Source organism: Homo sapiens, chromosome 1, assembly GCF_000001405.40.
Source record: "Homo sapiens chromosome 1, GRCh38.p14 Primary Assembly".
Lineage (NCBI taxonomy): Eukaryota > Metazoa > Chordata > Mammalia > Primates > Hominidae > Homo > Homo sapiens.
This window is the reverse complement of record NC_000001.11, coordinates 203728371-203751455: the sequence shown is the minus strand read 5'-3', so window position 1 is coordinate 203751455 and position 23085 is coordinate 203728371. Positions and strand designations below refer to the sequence as shown.

At 45.5% G+C, this 23085-nt stretch overlaps 1 protein-coding gene, 2 long non-coding RNA genes and 1 other non-coding gene across 7 annotated transcripts in view; 1 reads left to right on the top strand and 3 right to left on the bottom strand.

The window, feature by feature from the left end:
• On the top strand, positions 6897-14262 carry LOC102723543 (uncharacterized). The gene is made up of 2 exons (XR_426890.4): positions 6897-7251; positions 13409-14262. It is a non-coding gene; the product is annotated as an uncharacterized LOC102723543 (long non-coding RNA).
• ATP2B4 (ATPase plasma membrane Ca2+ transporting 4) overlaps positions 7375-23085 on the bottom strand; it is a 117250-nt gene continuing 101539 nt past the window's right edge. For 2 of the 4 annotated variants that reach the window (NM_001365783.2, NM_001365784.2), the window contains exon 21: positions 17827-18233. In NM_001365783.2, coding sequence (NP_001352712.1) covers positions 18048-18233 — 186 coding nt within the window. In that variant the 3' untranslated portion in view covers positions 17827-18047. Of the gene's footprint in view, positions 11911-17826; positions 18234-23085 lie in introns of those variants that run through there. The other 2 variants (NM_001001396.3, NM_001684.5) reach the window with 2 other exon arrangements.
• Positions 19603-20879, bottom strand: LINC00260 (long intergenic non-protein coding RNA 260). Its single transcript, NR_046213.1, has one exon. It is a non-coding gene; the product is annotated as a long intergenic non-protein coding RNA 260 (long non-coding RNA).
• Positions 21751-21875, bottom strand: SNORA77 (small nucleolar RNA, H/ACA box 77). Its single transcript, NR_003019.1, has one exon. It is a non-coding gene; the product is annotated as a small nucleolar RNA, H/ACA box 77 (small nucleolar RNA).

Sequence of the window (23085 nt, the reverse complement as noted above, 5' to 3'; positions counted from 1 at the left end):
GGAGCCATTGCACTCCAGCCTGAGCAACAACAGCAAATCTCCCTCTGCAGGGGAAAAAAAAAAAAAGGAAACATATTTGCACTTTAGGGGTGTGGATAAATTTGTCTTTGTTGCAGATACAAGTGGCTGAGCCTGATGTGAAGCCTGCCGGCACATGTTCTGGTATGCAGTACACGTTCTATACACACACAATAATGCTACATTCCAGGGAGATAAAGCAATGAAAGAGAAATTTTATGTAGACATTCTTCAGTGGTTATTAATAGCAATTAGATGTGAGAGCAAGAATGGAAAGAGTGTCAGAGTTGGAAAGACCCTTAGGTTCCAGAGCAAGCTAGGTTCAGGGTCAGCATTACAACAGAGGCCTTCTAATTCCCAGACCAAGTTCTTTCCACGACACCTTGGATGAGACACCTCGCTTCTCCTCTCTGATTTTATGCCATTCCACTGGGTTAGATCTCTGCATTCCCAAACAACTGCTCTTTCCATCATAAATTTCAACGCAGAAGGTTATCATTCCACTGCAGAATCAGCTAGATAATAGTCTCAGCAGGCTAGACTACAGTCATTAAGCTTTGCTGAATTTTACCTGTGCATGCATTGATAATGGTAGTGGCAGATAATTGAGACAGGATCCAAGTTAGGCTTGCTTGTTTGCTTGAACACAATTTGTTATATTACCACTCAACTTTGGACTGTTTGTTTTGTTAATTACAATCATAGCATTTCAGAGTTGGCAGGGACTTTAAGGATGAACTAGGTTAGTGTTTTTTGTTTTTGTTTTTCTGAAATGGGATCTTGTTCTGTCACTCCAGCTGGAGTGGCCTCATCACAACTCACTGCTGCCTCAACCTCCTGGGTTCAAGTGATCCTTCCACCTCAGCCTTCTGAGTAGCTGGAACTATAGGTGTGCACCACCATGCTTGGCTAATTTTTAAAAATTAATTTTTTTTTTTGAGATGGAGTCTTGCTTTGTCACCCAGGCTGGAGTTCAGTGGCACAATCTTGGCTCACTACAACCCCTTTCGGGTTCAAGCAATTCTCTTGCTCAGCCTCCTGAGTAGCTGGGATTACAGGCGTCCACCACCATGCCCAGCTAATTTTTGTATTTTTAGTAGAGACGTGGTTTCGCTATGTTGGCCAGGCTGGTCTTGAACTCCTGACCTCAGGTGATCTGCCCACTTCGGCCTCCCAAAGTGCTGGGATTACAGGCGTGAGCCACCATGCCTGGCCAAAATTTTTAATAGAGATGAGGTTTCACTATGTTGCCTAGGCTGGTCTTGAACTTCTGGCCTAAATCCATCTTCCTGCTTTGACCTCTCAAAGTGCTGGGATTACAGGCCTGAGCCATTGCACCCAGCTGGTCAGTGTTTTAAAGTCATTTTTTAAAAGCTATAGCTGACCTGGAAGCCAATAACATTTTTTCTTTTTCTTTTTCTTTTTTTTTTGAGATGGAGTCTCACTCTGTCTCCCAGTCTGGGGTGCAGTGATGCAATCTCAGCTCACTGCAATCTCTGCCTCCTGGGTTCAAGCAATCCTCCAGCCTCAGCCTCCCAAGTACCTGAGACTATAGGCATGTGCCACCACGCCTGGCTAATTTTTTTTTTTAGTAGAAACAGGGTTTCACCATGTTGGCCAGGCTGGTCTCGAACTCCTGACCTCAAGTGATGTACCCGCCTCGGCCTCCCAAAGAACTAGGATTACAGGTGTGAGCCACCGTGCCTGGCCCAAAAACGTTTTAAAAATGTGCTATTTTTGTTGAACGCCTGTCGACCCTAAATTATCTCTCAGGAGTTCCTTTCTGATCTTCAAAATGTAATTTGAAAATGATGTACTTTAATGATCTCCTTGTACACATGGGAAATCAAGCTGGTCAAGAAGCAGAGTTGAGGTCAGGGCATGTGTCTCCTGCCTTCCAATCAGCTGCACATCAGAATCTTACTCTAATTTTGCCATTTTAGCTCCTCGATCAAAGAGTAAGCAGAGAAACATTTAAACGCCTTCCTTTCCTACCCGGTCAGCAGCAGCAGCTCAATTCAAAAGGTTTGATAGGAAAGATGTAGGAATTCTCTCTTTTTTTTTTTTTTTCGGAAAGAGAGTCTTGCTGTGTTGCCCAGGCTGGAGTGCAGTGGCATGATCTCGGCTCACTGCAACCTCCACCTCTCACGTTCAAGTGATTCTGCTGCCTCAGCCTCCTGAGTAGTTGGGATTACAGGTGCCTGTCACCACGACTGGCTAAGTTTTTGTATTTTTAGTAGATACAGGGTATTGCCATGTTGCCCAGGCTGGTTTTGAACTCCTGAGCTCAGGCAATCTGCCTGCCTTGGCCTCCCAAAGTGCTGGGATTACAGGCATGAGCCACTGCGCCCAGCAGGAATTTTTTATTTTTATTTTTATTATTTATTTATTTATTTATTTATTGAGACAGGATCTATCTTTGTAACCCAGGCTGGAGTGCAGTTGTGCAATCTCAGCTCACTGCAACCTCCGCCTCCTGGGTTCAAGTGATCCTCTCACCTCAGCCTTCAGAGAAGCTGGGATTACAGGCATGAGCCACCATGCCCAGCTAATTTTTGTAAGTTTAGTAGAGATGAGGTTTCACCATGTTGGCCAGGCTGGTCAGATGCAGGAATTCTTGACTTAAATAAAGGGTTTTGGATGATCATGGATATATTTGTTCTTCTCTTAAGCATGGTTAAAGGCAATCTGTAGGTACCAGTCCAGCTCTTCCCAGCCTTACTCCCTCTTTCAAATGAGTTATCATATATACTTGCTTTAAATAGGTGAAGACATGAAGATCTGGAGTTATAAAACACAAATCAGTCTTTCAATGCAGTCTTCCTGGGTCTAGCATAGCAAGAAAGCTTAAATCAATTGTGCTGTGTTTGGAAAAAGAATGTGCTAAAAGGAGATGGTCTATATGTCCTCTGTTATAGGAGACACCAGAGAAATCAAGTGATGCTTAAGCTTGAACACAGGGCCCAGTTCTATTCTAAAGTAGAGACAGGCCAGGCATGGTGGCTCATGCCTGTAATCCCAACATTTGGGAGGCTGAGGTGGGAGGATAGTTTGGGGCCAGGTGATTGACTCCAGCTTGAACAACATAGTAAGACTCCATCTCTTAAAAAAAATTACAGGCATGGTGGTGCATGCCTGTAGTCTCAGCTACTTGGAAGGCTAAGATGGAAGGATAACTTGAGCCGAGTCTAAGGCTGCAGTAAGCCTTGGTCATGCCACTGCTCTCCAGCCTGGGTGACAGAGCAAGACCCTGTCTCAAAAACAAAAAAAGGAGTAGGGACAGATATATGCCCTGTGAGTGTAATGGCACTAGCCACTCAGACAGTTCTATTATTTCCCCTTTGCGTAGAGTTCATGAGCAGAAGTTAAATTTCTGATTGTAATCTGGCTATCCAAATATGTAGATTATTTCAATTCTTTTTTTTTTTTTTTTTTGAGATGGAGCCTTGCTCTGTCACCTATGTTGGAAGGCTGGAGTGCAGTGGCGTGATCTTGGCTCACTACAACCTCCGCCTCCTGGGTTCAAGGGATTCTTCTGCTTCAGCCTCCCGGGTAGCTGGTATTACAGGTGCACACCACCACGCTCAGCTAATTTTTGTATTTTTAGTAGAGACAGGGTTTCACCATGTTGGCCAGACTGGTCTTGAACTTCTGACCTCAGGTGATCCGCCCACCTCAGCCTCCCAAAGTGCTGGGATTACAGGCATGAACCACTGCCTTCCGAGCTAGCATTCTTGTTTTGCCACCAGCCTTTTAGAAGGCAGCGGGAGGCCATTCTAAAGAGACTGATCTCTGTTTTGTGCATGTCTTCTGAGGACAGGGAGATGATGCTGGGCCAGGAAAGTATTATTTGAAAAGAGTCAGAGAAGTAAAGACTTGTTTATGATTGGTTGTACATCAGGACATAGGCAAGCCCAGAACCCAGAAGCTGCTACCTTTCAAGCTGAAAGCTTTCTGTCTATGAATCTAATAGGTCAGTACCTCTCATGGCTTAGGTTCATGGTGGAGGTAACTGGATGTTAATGATCCTGCACAGAAATGGTAACATGTTTACATGTATTATTTACAACAAAGCTTCACAATTATTTGTTGGTGAAGGACATGCCATTCTCATTCTCCTTCCTGCTTGTAGTGACAAGAAGGCCACGCTTTAACAAACCCAGGTCAGGGGCTGGTAAATATCTCACTGGAACCCAAGGAGTCATCTTCTTTGGATTCACCACAGAGTAGGTCAGGGAGTTGCCTGGTCATGTGTATACTTTGGGGGAACCAGGTGGGCTTGGTAGAGAGCTTCAAACTGATGACCGCAGGGAGACGATATGGACTAGTGGAGAAAGGGGAGACTCACAAACCATTACTGAAGATGGAGGGCAGGCTGGGCGTGGTGGCTTATGCCTGTAATCCCAGCACTTTGCGGGGGCCAAGGCAGGCGGATCACCTGAGGTCAGGAGTTCGAGACCAGCCTGGCTAACATGGTGAAACCCCGTTTCTTCTAAAAATACAAAAAATTAGCCGGGCATGGTGGCGCACGCCTGTAATCCCAGCTACTCGTGAGGCTGAAGCAGGAGAACTGCTTGAACCCTGGAGGCAGAGGTTGTAGTGAGCCGAGATCACACCATTGCACTCCCACTTGGGCAACAAGAGTGAAACTCCATCTCAAAAAAAAAAAAGAAAAAGAAAAGATGGAAGGCAAAGCTATTATTCTTTTCTAGAACTGGGGTAAGGGAAAAGAATGGAAGAACAGAGTATGCTCTTTTCCATACAGTGACCTAGGTCCAAGTTGCTGAGCTGGCCTTTACATTCTCTTGAGCCAACACCTTAGGATATAGTGGTCTCTGCCAGAATGATACGTAGGAGGTTCATTCTTCACCATTCCTTACCATATCCTGGGGTTAAGAGACGTGGATCCTTAAGATCCTCTGTTTGGCATGGCAGAGAGGCACAGATCTATGGTCCAACAAACACAAAGTGGGGGTGAGAGAAGAAATAGAGGGCCAAGCTTTAGAAAGGACCGTATAGGGGTTCATATGTGTTACATCCTTTTCAGCAAGAGTATTTAGGAGGGAAACTACAATGGAAAAAGCAGACTTTCTTTTCTTTCTTTTTTTTTTGAGACGGAGTCTTGCTCTGTTGCAAGGCTGGAGTGCAATGGCGCGATCTCGGCTCACTGTAATCTCTGCCTCCTGGGTTCAAGCAATTCTCCTTCCTCAGCCTCCCGAGTAGCTGGGACTACAGGCGCATGGCACCATGCCCAGATAATTTTTGTATTTTTAGTAGAGATGGGGTTTCACCATGTTGGCCAGGATGGTCTCGATCTCTTGAGTTTGTGATCCACCCACCTCGGCCTCCCAAAGTGCTGAGATTACAGGCGTGAGCCACTGTGCCCAGCCTATTTTCATTTTTGTTTGTTAAGTTCATTATTTATTCTCCATCCCCTATTTTAAAGAAACTAAGTGGGCAATGTGTTCAATGCCTGTGGAGAGCAACCTAGGACAGAAAAGAAAAGTGGGGATAAGATCTCAGATCATTTAAGTCTTTTTCTTTTCTTTTCTGAGATGGAGTTTCACTCTTGTTGCCTAGGCTGGAGTGCAATGGTGTGACTTCGGTTCACCACAACCTCTACCTCCCAGGTTCAAGTGATTCTCCTGCCTCAGCCTCCTGAATAGTTGGGATAACAGGCATGCACCACCACGCCCGGCTGATTTTTGTATTTTTGTTTGTTTGTTTTGTTTTTTTTGAGACGGAGTCTTGCTCTGTTGTCCAGGCTGGAGTGCAGTGGCATGATCTCGGCTCACAGCAAGCTCCGCCTCCCAGGTTCACGCCATTCTCTTGCCTCAGCCTCCCGAGTAGCTGGGACTACAGGCACCTGCCACCACGCCCGGCTAGTTTTTTGTATTTTTTAGTAGAGATGGGGTTTCACTGTGTTAGTCAGGATGGTCTCAATTTCCTGACCTCATGATCCGCCCACCTTGGCCCCCCAAAGTGCTGGGGTTACAGGCATGAGCCACTGCGCTTGGCTGAATTTATTTTTTGTAGAGACAGGGTTTCTCCATGTTGGTCAGGCTCGTCTCGAACCCCTGACCTCAGGTGATCCGCCTGCCTTGGCCTCCCGAAGTGCTGGGATTATAGGTATGAGCCACTGCGCTCGGACCTTCTTTTTTTTTTTTTGAAATGGAGTTTCACTCTTGTTGCCCAGGCTGAAGTGCAATGGCGTGATCTTGGCTCACCGCAACCTCTGCCTCCCAGGTTCAAGTGATTCTCCTGCCTCAGCCTCCGAGTAGCTGGGATTACAGGCATGTACCACCATGCCTGGCTAATTTTTGTATTTTTAGAAGAGATGGGGTTTCTCCATGTTGGTCAGGCTGGTCTCGAATTCCCGACCCCAGGTGATCCACCCATCTTGGCCTCCCAAACTGTTGGGATTACAGGCGTGAGCCACTGCACCCGGCCATAAGTCTTTTTCAACCAGGGCTAGATCCTCTTTCAGAGCCAGACTATTAAAATAGCCAGGAGAGTTTGGGGCGTTCTTCAATGTCATGCTTTTCCTAAAGGAATTTGGGGAGTGGACAAGGTCCTTTCCTCCTTATGATGTGTGTGTGTGTGTGTGTGTATTTTAGAGATGGGGTCTTGCCATGTTGCCCAGGCTGGACTTGAACTCCTGGGCTCAAGCGATCCTCCCGCCTCAGCCCCTTCCCCTCCCCAGTAGCTGGGACAACAGGTGTGAACCACTGTGCCTGGCTCCTCCCTGTGATATTTTAAAAGAGGGTTGGGGAACTTCGTCGTGCACCTGGATGAGAGCTGCAGGAAGGAGTTGTCTCAGATATGAAAGCTCAGAATGTAAATGACCTGCCAGGAAGCTGTTTTGACCTGAAACTGGGGCCTAATATGAGTCTCTAGCAAGACTCAATTAATGAAAGACATTTTTTAAACCATAGGGAAGTGAGGGGGAGGGTGGAGAACCCAAGGGAAAGGCGGCTAATGTAAGGGAAACTACTTCTCCTAAAAGACATTTCATATAAAACAAACCAAAACCAAAACCAAAAAAAACAAAAAACAAAAAAAGGAAAGAAAAAAAGCAAGGACTGCCAAGACTGCCTCTTTCTTATTCTTCCAAAAGCTCCAGCTCCTGAACTGTGGATTCTAACCAAGGTGGGTGGAGCACAGCTTGCACTGCAAGGGAATGAAGCCAATGCGAAGGCCCAGAGGGAAGGGAAGCGTTGTCAGAGTCTGGTGGTAAGCTGAATTCTGTGCCTGTTTAAATGGGGTTGTCCTTGTGGTTGCGGCATTTCCCTTCTCAACTTCAACAGACAATCAGTGGCATTACCCAAAAGTGGAGACGCATTGAGGACAGCACAGTTACAAGTGGGCATGAGTTTTTATTCTCAGTGCACAGCAGTATTGGTTTCTGTTCATCAGCAAAAAGCTTTATTGGCTCCAACAAATTATCCCTTTTAAAACTCCTCTTCTTCTTCTGGTCTCAGTGGAACAACACATTTGAATTTCAGATTTGCAGTTTATAGCATTTTTTTTCCCTAAGAACCATATAAATACATGCAAAACCTTGTACATAGAGCTTAAATAATATCAAAATGCAAATATAGATTGGGTGCACTGTTAAGCTGAATTGCAAATTATGGCAACACACACTGGACTGGGGTATACGTTGCTTTGATATCACCATTTGTTTGTTTATGTCATGCAGACCACAATAGTCAATCTTTTGTTTTTCTTTTTTGTACAAAAATACCAGTGCTTGTTATACTAGTTACTAAAAGAAGAAGAAACTCAAAATTCCTATCTGCGTGCTAATTTGAAAAGAACAACGTAGATAGATTTGTTGGCACATATATATGGCATATTCACATATGGCATATATACATATGGGGAGAAAACATGAACCAAAGGCCAATTCAGTTATGGGAGCTCATCTCCTTCCATCTCTCCTAATCAAGAGCAAAGGGAACAGCAGGCCTAACAGCAGGGTTGGGAAGGCAAAAGGACTGGCACTGAACTAAGTGAAAGGGCGTCTGGTCTATTCAGAGGAAGAGGCTGGAATGGCTTAACAATAGCAGGCATTTATAAGTGCCCACCCTCACCAATGCATCGGGGGTGGTCCCTAGATATGAAAGGTGAGGAAGTCTCTGCATACTGTGATGGTACCACGGGCTGCTTCAATTGTAAGGCAAAGGAAGCAGGAAAGAAAGGAAGGGATGCATTTAGAGGCTTTTCCACACAAGCGAGTGTGCCACGCCCCTCTGGGTTTTCAGCAGTGAGGTAACCATTCAGATTTAACCATGCCAACTCTCCTCTCTGAAGCTCAAGGGGAAGAAGAAACTCAAACCCTAAAGAACCCACAAGTGTCCAGAGGGATTTCTAGGTGATCTCTCTCTTAACCCCTTTAGGGACAGGAGAGTCATTCCAGAGGACAGATGATACTATGGGAAGGATCTAGCCTTAAGACTGTCACTCAGGGCTAGAACCAGCCATTGTTTTATCCATTTAGAATTCTGTCCCCATTTAATATATTGCACAAAATCTTTCTAGGGGAGGGAAGGCATCACAAATAAGATCCTTGCACAAAAACTCACTAATGGAAAACTCCAGGGGGAACAGGAAATAAAAACCATGAAAAATGCAAACCCCAAATCAGAGTATCCTTATAGACCAGGAGATATTCGTGTCTTTTATACCACTCTGCCAGCTATTCTTCAAGAAACACAAATCCAACAGAGGCCCCTGATCCTAATGACTAGTCAGGAAAGATTCTGTCTATCCATCTGCATGGTGGGGGTTGGGGGGAAGATTCATTTCCTGACAGCTGTGTCCCTTGCTGGGTGTTTTCCTGACTATCCACAGTTTACTACCCGTTTTTCTAGGTTTATTAAGAGAGGAAGCTAGGATGATACGTTCTCCTTCTCCCCATCAGACCCTTTTCAAATCCAAAGCACCATTTTGGGGAAAAGTGTTATTAACTTATGCCATATTTACCCACTGCCAGTTGGATCAGTGAAACTGAATAGAAAAAACTTATATAAAAAACATATGCACATAGACACTTAAACTTACCTAATTCCATATCAACAAAATTTATATTAAAAAAGTCTAGAACCCAACAATTTTTCTTCCCTAAGTATAAAGATGGCTGTTTGCAGAAAGAAAGTATGGTGTATTGGTTTTAAAACCAATTACAAATATACTAAGTCACCTGTCATGCCAAACAGCTGGTTATGTGCTCCCTTCCACAGGGCTACATGACGGCACTTTATTTTAAATCCTTTAAACAAAATACATATGGCTGACCCAAAAATATCAGTTTCTGATCTAAAGAAAACTATAATTTTTGCATATATTTCTATATTTTCTCTCCTATTATGGAAACTAGAACACAAGAAAAAAAACCATTGACTTTTAAAAAGTAGACACAAGCCCTCAAGGGTAACCTGTCAGGCACCATGAGAACCTTTTGTGAACAGGAATGGTAAAATAGCCTTCAAAGCTCGTTATTGGCTTGCTATTTAAAATGATCTGAGGTAATACAAGATTTGATAGAATTAAATCTTCTAAAATAGTTGATGAATATATATGTGAAACCTAACACCTTGGGTGAGCTGTTTTTTTCCCCTATGAGTATTTAAGACACAAAAAAGAATTATTGAAGCATGTACGTTTTACAAAACCAAAATCAAATTTGCTTTCCTATTTCCTACGATGATGGATTATGTAGTCATGGGGATATGTAGGGGACATTGTTTCTTTATGTTTCCTACTGTGGACAGCTCAGGTGAAAGGGGTGAGGGAGGACAGATCCAGAAGAAAAGGCTAGGTGGATCAGGTCATCTTCCTCTCACATGGGAATTTGGCCGTTCATACATCCCCTCTTCTTGACTCTCATCACTCTAGAAAGGGGGGTGGGCTTCATTTATCTAATGGGAGGTGAGAGTCAGGGACATGAACTGGCCCCTACACAGAAGTCAACACCAGCAGGGATACAAATGGAGCTCCTGCAAACGTGGCTCCACGTTGTCCCAGTAAGGAACACTTAAAAAATCTCCTAGCAAAGTCCCCAACTCCTGAGAGGCAGATGGGAAGGGGATGCTTTGGGCAGTATTCAGGGGAAAAAAAGGCACAGGGCTTTACTGGGCAGCAGCTGGAGCATGTGGCTGAAGCGGGGCTGGAGGAAGGGGGAGTGTGCCGGGTGCGGGGGGTCTTTTTCTCGTTTAAGTTGGCAAAATGTCACAGGGGCCTCCCACTTTGGATACATATTTTCAAAATCAGAATATTTGAGAAAGGCTGGGACCTTCTCAGAGACTGGAAAAGTTGTGACACGTGGCAAAAATTAGAATCAGAAACTGGAGAGAATGTCGAAGCTGGTCCCCAGGCACCTAAGCTCAAGGTTTCTGGCCTCTGCAGGAAGGTTTTCTCAGATCATGCTAGAATGGCTCTTTGGCCTCTCCCAAGGCTTCTGAACACTCATTCCCCACCAGTCAGGTCCTGCCCTGGAGAGCCTTGGCAGATGGCTTTGAAAGCAGTGGTCACCCCAAAGAGGAGCCCACAAAAGTCTGCTTTGATGGTCTGTCTTGTCCTAGATTTGGCAGCGTCTGGTCCTCAATATCCAAGCCCAGTAAGGGGGCAGGGTCATACCCAGTTCATTCTTTTGCCACCACTTTAGGAATAAGAGAAAGCTCAGGCTTTCAGGTAAAAACTGTATACCACACATATGCAACCTTCATGGGCAAGGCTGATCTCCCTGGCACTTAAGAACCACATACACTTTACAAGATGGCAATTTAAAAGCAGAAGGTAACCTGGCAACAACAGAGAAATATTCTTACCAGCACTTAATTGCTTCAAAAGGACCCTTTTAACAAAGAAACTGGTTGGATTCTGGAACTAAATCAAGGGTTCTTTTGGGCCAAAAGGGAGAAGGATCTAAGTTTACACAATTCATCCATATCCTTTCCATTTTCTTAATCATCATAAAAAAAAAAAAAAAAAAGGAAAGGAAGGGAAGACAAAAGACAAAGAACTTTGGAGAGGTTTGAATGAAAGGGCAGAAAGAGTTAGAGGCCTACAGGCCTTTAGGTGTAAGTTTTCAAAGTGGGAAAAATTGAAAAACAATCACACTACTGGCGGATTTTATACATTCCATCTCTACCGCAACATATTTCACTTGGGGATATTTGTCTCCCTCTGAACCCTCAACTTAGCTTATAAATGGCACAGACTTGTAGGACAAAATCCAGAATTCAGGAGAGGAACATCGGGGAGAATGTGGGGTGGGGTGATGCCAAGAGGATTGTCATCATTTCTTTAAAAATGACAAGTGACTACCAAGGAGTAGATTCTACCATGACCTGAATGGGGTTTGACTGGGTCCCGCTACAAACCCCAAGTCAAGCTTAAGTTGAAATCCTTGTAAGTCTGTGCTCTTGCCTCTTCATGGTCAGGTAGAGGTTCACTTCACACACACTGCTGTTAACACAGCAGCTGACGTGACAATGAAAAGTCCCATCATCACCTCATAGATGGGATAGACGAAAATGGAAATAGGTAAAATAGGGATGAGAGTCAGAGAAAGAAAATTCAAACTGATGTCTCTAGGCTCTGTAGAGAGCTGTCCGACTGGGGGAGCTGCACTTGGTTGCAATCCACCGCATTGTTGTTTGTATTGGCATATGGAGTGACCTCACCATCCAACAGGAGCACCCTAGTCCCAAACTTAGAAGCCTTGTCAGGATTTTCCTCCTCTTCCTCATCCAGGAGTGGTGTTCGTGGCAACTCCTCCTCTATGGCGAATTCAGGGTGGGTCATGAAGCTGTGGATGGACTTTTGGTTGTAGGGTTTCTGAATGCTTTCGTGGAGGGAACTATGGAACGCTTTGACCACTTTGATCTATACCAGGGGAAGGAAAAGGAGGATGAGAAAATAGAGAGGTGAGAATTGGCCGGCAGAACAAGGAGATGGTGGATTTAGGAGAGAAACAAAACCCAGACTATAAAACATGACTGCTCAGCATCAAAACCAAACACACATCAGAAGAGATCATGGGGCACTAGAAACATCACATGGCTCAACTTTCAAGCAGTGGGGTGGGCTGGGGTGAGTGACGGCAACTAGGACGTTTTGAAAGCTGCATTAAAAAAAGTAGAAAACCCAAAGCAACGTTAGCATTCCCAAACAATCTACTTTTAAAATGAAACAGAAAACAAGAAGTTTCATTAGTTCTTTTAGATGGAGGGCAAGGACATGGGAACTAGATGCAAATTCATAGCCAAACTTAAAAAGATGATTGAGATATGTGGATTTCTGTGCTGAGGCCAAACATTTTGTGAATGTGGAATGGAAAAATTATGCATTGAGGTTTAGTTATCTGTTTAAAGACCTCAAAGAGCCAGCATACACCAATCTGCACATAATACAGGTTGGGTGACGAGTGACCATGAAAACTGTGCAGCCAGGCAGACAAACCAATCTTCATTTGTGTCAGCAGCATGCAGGAACTTAAAACTCTCTAATAATAATTTGCCCTTTCAGCCAGGAAACATGCATATTTTTATATCCCACAACCACCACTGTGTCCCCTCCCCGCAAATAACACAGAACTTCACTCCTTCAGCCCCTTCCCTAGAAGCAGCAGATAAAATACAGGTGTCAAAAGATGCCTTCCTCCTGCCTATTGAGAAAAGACCTGGCTCTCATAATTCAAATGCACGTTCATGTCTCTGATACACAGCAACTGTGCCCAATCATGCTGCTTTCTCTAGCTGTTTCCAAATTGTGAAGAGGAGCATAGTCTTATGTGGAGAAGGGAATGAAAGGGACCAGGGAGAGAAACCTAATCCAGGAGGCAGTGCTACAAACAAGTGGCCTTTCTGATGGGGTGGATGAAGAGGATGAAGGAAAGGAAACCACGTGCGGTTTTACTGGGCAAAAGGAGATGCATTGCCCAGTGTCATAGTCTCTGTCTTACTGCGCAAAAAGGAAGGGATTCGGTCAGTTCAGAGTCATCAAGAAAAAACTGACAATAATTGATGCCTGTGAACAGCTTTTGCTTGTCCACAGGCACCAGCAATTTTGGCAGCTCTGCTTTTCTGAACTGCAGGTCTCTCTGAGGCGTGGCTTAGAATCAGGGATGGTAGAATTGGGGTAGGGGGAGAGGGTTGGAGCTCCGAGAAGTTGGAGAGAGGGGCCAGGGGAAAGGTAAATGGTTGTAGGACGGTTCTAGTTGTTGGAAGGTGGCTGATCCTAGTCTTGTCCAAAAAATCTTCACTCAGAAAAGAAATGGGAGTAATGTGGGGGAAACTGTTGAGGTTGGAGGGGTAGGAGTGATGAAGGTGGGGGTAGGGTACCTCTTTCATTCCTCTGCTGTTTAACCAAAAATATATTCCAGGAGAAGACACAAGAATTTGGAGACAGCAGAGGATACAGAGAGTCAGCCAAATAAACTGGTTGGATCACCTGTTCCAGTGCTTCCTACCACCATACAGAACCTTCATAAATACCACTCAAAGAAGGCTCACTATCAATACTGTTGGTCCGTTTTCTCTGGAGGAGAATGTGTCTCTGCTGGCTAAGGCTTTCTTTATCTCGTCCCACTCTACTACAGCCTGCAGACCCACCCAAGACTGAGGGTGCTCAAAGCTCAGAAGGCAAAGGACTCCTTGCCACTCAACAGTATCAGCTCAACACCTCAGCCAAGAAGAATCAGGGAGCACAGGCACACACTCACCATGCTGAACAGACAGCGAGGACCACATTTTTATTATCTGATTCCTATTTGACCATCTGATGTGCAAATTTTACCTATCATGTTGCCTTTGCTCCAGATCTAGGTGAGATCAGATGGAATGGAGGCTCCATCTGGTCTTCAGGAAGTCTCAAGTTTTCACTGATCTACATAAAATCTCAGAGCAAGGCAATTTGGATTGAGTGAGTCCAAACCCAGTGCCTTCTCCTTTGACCCTGGCACAGATACACTGGCCAAGAGATGGGTCCAAAGTCATCCCACTCCATCAAAGCCATCACTGTCAGGAGTGATAACATAGCCCACATTTTTCATATGTTTTCAAGATCTCAAAATTTCTACTGAATATTACAGGAGGGCAGGTGCCTTTATCCGCCAGTACATCATCTTCAATATCAGTGATTTTCAATTTCCTGCTTCCATTCAATTGAATACTTTGTTGGAAAAAATTACATGTGAAGTCCACTATAGAAAATAAATTTGTAACAACTGGGGTTGGAGTGAGGGTCTGGAGCCCTGTTTGTTGGCTTTTCCTCTCACCTGTTGGGGTGACCAATAATACTGTTACAGGTAAACAATGAGGAAGATAAAAGTGAATTGGGGATGGGTAGATGGAAAAAATATGGGAAATGTCTTTTGGGGAGCAAGAAACAGTCATCCAGCTAGACTGCAGGACTTCTGGAATCTAAAGGGAAACCAGCCACCTGTAAGGAAGCTCACGTGAAGAGGGGTCAGAGAGCTAGGGAGCACCAGCTGGCTTGGTGGGTGGAGAGAAGGGTGAGGGAGGAGAGGGCATGGGGCTGTGCCAGGATGCCCCAACTCCAGCACTGGCCTCAGAGAACACATGCTGATGAACAATCATGCACTATATCACCACCAATCCACCCAGGGCTGGCATCTCCCCTTCCTGGAGCATGATGCCTGGTGCATGAGCAGTGTATGGGGACAAGACAGGGCTAGTGAAGAAGGTGCAGGGAAAGCTTTGAGCACTCTCCACACAGCCAGTCAACCCTTCCCTTCCTGGTCATCATTTCTCAAAACCTTGGGGAAATGTCTCTTTTGGGGCCCTGGCCTACAGGTGGAAGTGGCTGGTTGAAGGGCAACTCTTTTCATGACTCAGGAGACTGGGTATGAGTGCTGAGGGCTACTCTCTGCAGCTCAATGAGTGGGCAGGTGAAGACTCCATTTTCTCATTCTGTAGTTTTCTGCTTTTTTTTTTTTGGGGGGGATGGAGTTTCACTCTTGTTGCCCAAGCTGGAGTGCAATGGCGTGATCTCAGCTCACTGCAACCTCCGCCTCCCGAGTTCAAGCGATTCTCCTGCCTCAGCCTCTAGAGTAGCTGGGATTACAGACGTGCGCCACCGCACTCAGCTATTTTTTTTTGTATTTTTAGTAGAAATGAGGTTTCACCATGTTGGCCAGGCTGGTCTCGAACTCCTGACCTCAAGTAATCCACCTGCCTCGGCCTCCCAAAGTGCTGGGATTACAGGCGTGAGCCACCGCGCCAGGCAGTTTTCTGCTCTTTTCAGAAACCAGAAGAAAAGGATTAGGGCCTCCCTATGCAGGGAAATCTTAGAGATCTATCTAATGAAGGTTGGACAAACAGTTGAATTCATTTGGAGATCTGGAATGGGAAAGAGGGTTTTAAAATGTATGGCTATAACTTCTAGGAGCTCCAACTAAAAAGGCACAGCTGGAGAAAGAGCAGGTGTGGCCTGTCTCTCCTCTGATCTAGTCTTTGAGGATTTGGAGCACACCCTCTACCAGCTGCTCTACAAGATCCCAGTCTTCTGCTTAGTCTTCTACTTAGTCTCCTTCCACCATCAAACCATCAGGATATCTGACACTAACCCTTCCTATCAGAAAGGGATGATTAAAACAGAACAGAAGCTAGTTAGAAGGGGATGGCAGAACTAGAAGGAAAAAAGGAATTAAGAGAGGAATATGAAAGAACTGGTGGGAGAGGTTCCTGGATACTTGCAGGGCAAGACTTAGTGAGTTCTTTCTTGCCTGTTTTTTTGACCTAAAGAAATTGTATGTATCTCTATCAAGTTCCACCCCCATTCCTCACATCAGAACACTTTGGCTAAAGAGACAAAACAAATCTAAGTCTGGTCAACCCACACAGTCCGTGATCATGTGAACCACAGACAAGGCAACTGTTCTTTCTTGAGCCCCTTTGCAGAGGTCGGGGTGGGGGGTGGTGAGGTTGGGAATGGGGGAGGAAGGAACAGACTGAACACTCAGCTATTTGAAACCCACATTATATTTAATACAGATAAACTCCTTCCCACATTATCAGCAAAGAGCTGGCTACCTTCTCTCTCCTCTCTGAGTCCCATTTGGGGAAGGGAAAATGACCAGGAATAGGAAGACATAAGCATTAGCAAGAATCCAAGAATCTACCAATGGGAACACCAGATCTTAGGTTGTGAGTTGATAATACTCCAATTGCAAGTCCGGCTGAGAAAGGGCTTCCTGAAACTTTATGTGCAAAATAAGTGCTGGCTATTGGTGAAACAATCAAACTAGAGAAAAGGAGAAGCAAAATAAAAGGCACTCCTCTTCAGAAACTCCTAAAAGTTTAGTAAATGAAGAAAAAATGTTATTTTGACTCTTTTGTATATTTCTCGTACCTTCATGTGAACTAATTGATTTTTTTTCTTCGTTTTTTTTTTTTTTTTTTTTTTTGAGATGGAGTCTGTCTCTGTCACCCAGGCTGGAGTGCAGTAGAGCATCTTGGCTCACCGCAACCTCCGCCTCCTGGGTTCCAGCGATTCTCCTGCCTCAGCATCCTGAGTAGCTGGGACTATAGGCACGTGCCACCATGCCTGGCTAATTTTTGTATTTTTTAGTAGAGACAGGGTTTCACCATATTGGCCAGGCTGGTCTTGAACTCCTGACCTTATGATCCACCTGCCTTGGCCTCCCAGAGTGCTGGGATTATAGGCGTGAACCACTGTGCCTGGCCTTTTTTTTTTTTTTTTTGAGATGGAGTCTCACTCTGTAGCCCAGGTTGGAGTGCAATGGTGCTATCTCGGCTCACTGCAACCTCTGACTCCCGGGTTCAAGTGATTCTCCCGCCTCAGCCTCCCGAGTAGCTGGGATTACAGGCACGCACCATATTGCCCGGCTAATTTTTGTATTTTTGTAGAGACAGGGTTTCGCCATGTTGGCCAGGCAGGTCTTGAACTCCTGACCTCAGGTGATCCGCCCACCTCGGCCTCCTAAAGTTGGGATTACAGGTGTGAGCCACAGCACCCAGCCAAGATTAACTGATTTTTAAACCGGAGTCCCAGAAAAGTAAAATAACGGGGATGTTCAACCATATACATTTGAACTGAACTACTTTCTTTTCTTCACCTATAGCTACAACTTTTTTTTTTTTTTGAGACAGAGTCTTGCTCTATCGCCCAGGGTGGAGTGCAGTGGCTCTCCACTTGGCTCACTGTAACCTCCGCCTCCTGAGTTCAAGTGATTCTCCTGTCTTAGCCTCCCGAGTAGCTATAGGACTACAGGTGCCCGCCACCACGCCCAGCTAATTTTTTGTATTTTTAGTAGAGACGGGGTTTCACCATGTTAGCCAGGATGGTCTTGATCTCCTGACCTCGTGATCTGCTTTGGCCTCCCAAAGTGTTGGGATTACAGGCGTGAGCCATCGTGCCCAGCCAGCTACAACTTTTATGCTAAAATTGCCAGTCAGCAATACAGTGGTGGCCAAATGGACTATTATTATTGACCAAGTTTAATACTGGCTCAATTATGACAGGTCCACTAGTCAAAACACACCCATGGGCACATTAGCTCCCTTCCTACCTTTCCTCAAAAGATCCCAAACTTTGCCCCCATGTAAAGAAAGCTCTTGGGTTTTCCTCTGGCCTAACCTCACATCTAAGCTTAGGAGGTAGAGTTCAGACTCAAAGGAGCAGGAGGAGAAGAGAGGAACAACAACATATCCCAGCAAAGCAACAAACAGACAAACAAAAAAGGCAAAGCAAAACAAAACAAAACTCAAGAAAAGGAAGAAATGAGCAATGCAGAGGAACAATCAGAAAACAGAATTATTGTCTTTAAAACAGTTAAGGTTTAATAGCTTTTCTACATTACAAAAATAAAATACAAGGGCACACAGTCTGGTTTTAGAGTAGGATTTTTGTCTTTTTCTTCCCTTAAGTCAAAATATCAAAGGGAAAAACCAAAAGGAAAAGATAACCATGGTTGGTTAAAGTGGATGCCACGTGCTCTCTTGTGGTCATTTTAGCAAATCATGCATCATAATAGACTATCACTCACTGCCCATAGGAGGAGATGAAACAGCAGGAACAGAAGTGGTGGGGGAAGATTTGACTGGTGCAACTGCTACATAGGATGAACTAGGAACAAGTTTTACATCAAGGTGTTGACCCATGTTCTGTCGCCTTAGGACTCCCTTAAAAGAGGCTCCCGTCTGGAATGTGTTAATTACGTCGATCTGCAAAGAATCAGAGAGTGAGACAGCTTTGCTCCACAGTCAGTCCGAGAGAGGTGAAGAAAGAGGAAGGGAGGGTCATGGAAGGTTGGGGAAGCAGGAATGGAAGTAGATGGGAAAAGGGGACAGGAGAGAGCAAGAGAGAGCTTCCCTCCCACAAAAAGCAATGGTGAGGAGAAGGAGAAAAACGTTAATTGCATATCATACTTCACTTAGGGAACAATTTGCCATGGAGTCCCAACGCCCAGCCAGAATCTAGTTTTTTCTTCCCTTTGAATCCACAGTGGGCATTTGAGGTTTAGAGGGGGCCAAGAGTATTTAAAATGTAAAGGGACTTTTCCCTACTCCATCACTCCTAACAGCTAGACAGCGATTGTTCGTTGTTTTTACCTGTACTTTTTTTTTTTTTTTGAGATGGAATCTCAATCTGTCGCCCAGGCTGGAGTGCAGTGGCACACTCTCGGTTCACTGCAACCTCCACCTACAGGCCCCTTTTTACCTGTACTCTTAAAAATAAGGCAAACAATTGAAGATTCTGAAGGCAAATTATGTATTACTGAATTTGAAGGCTCAGGAACCTCTAAATCAATTAAACCGACTACGTATTTTTGCGGATTTTCCAGGAAAATAACTCATGTGTTTAAATAAAAAACAGGGGCCATTTAGTAGCCAATATACAAATGGCCATGATGGAAAGACCCCTGGGCCATGAGTTGCTGGGCTCATCCTCCTCTGGGTATCTTGTCTGAGCTATCCCTTCCCTGGGCTGAAGTAGGTAGGCTCCCTGAGAATGGAGCTCAAGAACCCAGTGGCCAAGCCCACTATCGAGAATGCTACTAAGTGCATTAATGCATTAGAGATCTGAAATGTCTGGCAGAAATGCTGACAGTAACTCGGCAATTAGACTGAGGGAGGGGGAGGAAGAGGTTTTGGTTGGTGGTGGTTGAAACAGCTACAGGTCGAGGCTTACACAAGTAGCCTCTGGTTTTCAGTGCCCTGTTCCTCAGAGACAGAGGCAATTAATGCCATTCATTTTCTTCCTTCCTTCCTTTTTTTTTTTTTTTTTTTGACACCCAGGCTGGAGTGCAAGGTGCGATCTCGGCTCACTGCAAGCTCCGCCTCCCGGGTTCACGCCATTCTCCTGCCTCAGCCTCCTGAGTAGCTGGGACTACAGGCACCCGCCACCAGGCTGGCTAATTTTTTATATTTTAAGTAGTGACAGGGTTTCACTGTGTTAGCCAGGATGGTCTCAATCTCCTGACCTCGTGATCCGCCGGTCTTGGCCTCCCAAAGTGCTGGGATTACAGGCGTGAGCCACTGTGCCCAGCTTCCTTCCTTCCTTCCTCCCTCCTTCCTTTTTTTTTTTTTTTTTTTTTGAGACAGAGTCTCGCTCTGTCACCCAGGCTGGAGTGCAATGGCACGATCTTGGCTCACTGCAACCTCCATCTGCTGGGTTCAAGCCATTCTCCTGCCTCAGCCTCCTGAGTAGCAGGGACTACACGTACCTGCCACCATGCCCAGCTAATTTTTTTATTTTTAGTAGAGACAGAGTTTCACCATGCTGGCCAGGCTGGTCTCGAACTCCTGACCTTGTGATTTGCCTTCCTCAGCCTCCCAAAGTGCTGGGATTAAGGTGTGAGCCACCGCGCCCGGCCATGCCATTCATTTTCTGACAATGGTCCTGATCTAGGGCCTCAATCAACTCTACCATCCTTATCCCTGACCCCTAAGTAACAAGGACAAAATCAAAAGGAATTCCCTTTAGCCTTCATGAATCTGGTAGAATAATCTTAGAAATATCTATCTGCTTAATGCCAAGGGTTAATCTACCAGGAATGAAGGAAAGGTGCTGATTCCATTAACTGGACTTCATTTTCCCAGGAGGGAAGATGGGAAAGTAGGCAGAATGTGAGTGAGACAGTCCTTTTATAAAGCTTCCTGAGAAGCCATGAGCTGTTTAGGGCTAGTTTCTGGATCCAGATCACAGTTTGAGCAGAAACATCACTGCTTCCTCACATTATTCAGTTTTAGTTCCCTGGGACTGAGGAGCTTGAACCTGCAGGAGGAGAGGGTTTACACTTGGGGTGGGTGCGGGGGTTCCAGCTCCATGGAAGAAGGGACTGTAGAGACACCTTCTTCAGTGCTTATTGGAGTTACAAGGTCCCAACCTCCACAATTCTAGTCTCTAAGTTTTCTAACACCTCCCATACCAAAGCACTGCGATGAGAATGACAACAAAGATCAACGTGGAGGTGGCAGGGGGTTTTGTTAGAACCCAGCTGAGGCTGAAGGGCTGATGTTGGGAGCGGACCTCAGGGATCCAGGATACACGTTAGCATCATTAGCCTCATCAGCTTCCAGAGTCAGGTGCATCCTGGATGGCGTGAATTTGGTCACTGTGGCATCTTGAACATGCCTCACTTTAGGCTTTAATGCCATTTTGGCCCAACTGCCTCATGCTCCAACAATGCGGAAAGGTAGTATACCTAAAGCTATGTAGGCAGTGAAACCAAAAAGACCTTGTAGAGAGGGGCATAGTCAAGGAAATAGAAATTGGTAGTGGAGGGCAAGGAAGACCCATAAATCTCAGCCTCCCAGGACAGAAGACTGGAAAGGAGCAAGGAGGTACTGGACTGAGGGAATCTTGGCTAGGAGAAAAGAAATCACATAGTAGAAGTGGTTGATCCTGAAGAAAAACAAAGCAAAGACAGGTTATTTTGGAAAGAGCAGACCCAAAGGAAAGCACTGGGGGCTTTAGAGATGGGAGCCAAAGGCGCCAGGTTCTATGGGTACTTGGAGTCAGCAGCCTGGAGTGTGGGGTGGGGTAGGGAGTGAGCGTGGGGATTCTGGATGCCTGGATGCCACGAGGCACTTTGTGTAGGTCCCGCTGGAAATTTTCTTTCTGAGAGGAGGAACTTGAGAGAGGGAAAAGGAACCCTAGCGTTTCCCTACCTAGCCCTTTTCCACTTTTCTTTTTCTTCTTTTTTTTTTTTTTAATTCAGCTCTTCATATAACATCCCTTGTAAAAACAAAAGAATAAAAACAAACCAAAAAAGAGGGGCAGGGTAAATTTTTTTTTAAAAAAAGGAAAGGAAAGAGAGGAAAAGGAAATAAAATAAGACGATTTATTGTTTCTCCTCAGCATCCTCCTTGGTCTCCTCCTTCACTGAGAGACCTTCAAGCTTTTCTGCCACTTTTTCGGCATGATTGTTTTTGCCTGATCCTGGCCAAGCCGTCTCCTGGAGTTTCTCTTCTTGAAACTCAATGACCAAAGGAAGCCAAGTGGATGCATCCAAGCACCACCTAGACCATGGTCAGGCTGCTCAGTGACATCTGGTCACTTGCCACCACAGCTGCAGTCCAGCCTCACAGCAGAGGGGACCAAGCCCTCTGAGAGACAAACCAAGGACCACTGTAAAGCACCTTCTGGTGAGCTCCAGGCAGTGCCCGGACTCCAATGCCTGCCCAATTGGATGTGAGGCCAGCAACACGGAGAAGTGCTCAGGGCTCCCCAGGAAGCACCTGTGTCCCCAGGGAGCTGCATCGCCCTGGATAGGTGAGGCAGCCACAGCACCCTGGAATGTTTCTCTGGCAGACAGAAAAAGCACCTGCCTGGAAGTACAGTCAGGTGCATAGTGAGTCTGCAATCCACTTTTCTTCTTCTTTTTTTTTTTTTTTTTTGAGACAGAGTCTTGCCTTGTTGCCCAGGCTGGTGTGTAATGGCGCGATCTCAGCTCACTGCAACCTCAGCCTTCCGGGTTCAAGCGATTCTCCTGCCTCAGCCTCCAGAGTAGCTGGGATTACAGGCGCCCACCACCACGTCCAGCTAATTTTTGTATTTTTGGCAGAGCCAAGGTTTCACTATGTTGGCCAGGCTGGTCTCGAACTCCTGACTTTATGATCTGCCAGCCTCGGCCTCCCAAAGTGCTGGGATTACAGGCGTGAGCCACCGCACCCGGCCTCTTTTCCACTTTTCTATTTGTTGTCTTGCCTATAGGGGATAAGTTCCTACCAGGTATATAGTTTAGAATATTCACTCCATCTATCTCTCCTATACACTAACGAGGTGGGATTGACTGGGGAACTTCTTTTCTTTCTCTTTTTTTTTTGAGACAACTCTCAATCTGTCACCCAGGCTGGAGTGCAATGGTGTGGTCTCAGCTCACTGCAACCTCCGCCTCCTGGGTTCAAGCGATTTTCCTGCCTCAGCCTCCCAAGTAGCTGGGACTACAGGCATGTGCCACCATGCCTGGCTTGTATTTTTAGTAGAGACGGGGTTTCACCTAAGGCAGGGGATCCACCTGCCTTGGCCTCCCAAAGTGCTGGATTACAGGTGAGAACCACCGCGCCCAGTCTTTTTTTTTTTGTGAGACAGAGTTTAGCTCTCGTTGGCCAGGCTGGAGTGCAATGGCGCAATCTCAGCTCACTACAACCTCTGCCTCCCGGGTTCAAGTAATTCTTCTGCCTCAGCCTCCCGAGTAGCTGGGATTACAGGCATGTGCCACTACGCCCGGCTAATTTTGGATTTTTAGTAGAGACGCGGTTTCTCCATGTTGGTCAGGCTGGTCTTGAACTCCCGACCTCAGGTGATCCACCCACCTTGGCCTCCCAAAGTGCTGGGATTACAGGCGTGAGCCACCATGCCTGGCCGACTGGGGAACTTTCTAAAACATTTGCAAGGCCAGTTTTAGACAGTGAAACTTATTTTGAAGATCTCTAGCCAATCAGCAGAGAGAAATACGCCTGTTTTCTGGAGACCACCCTTGAGATCTTGGAATTTACAGTGTTTTTGAAATGGAAAATCTCAGGATTAAAACAATAAAGCTATGGGGGGTGAGAGCAGGGGAAGACAGAA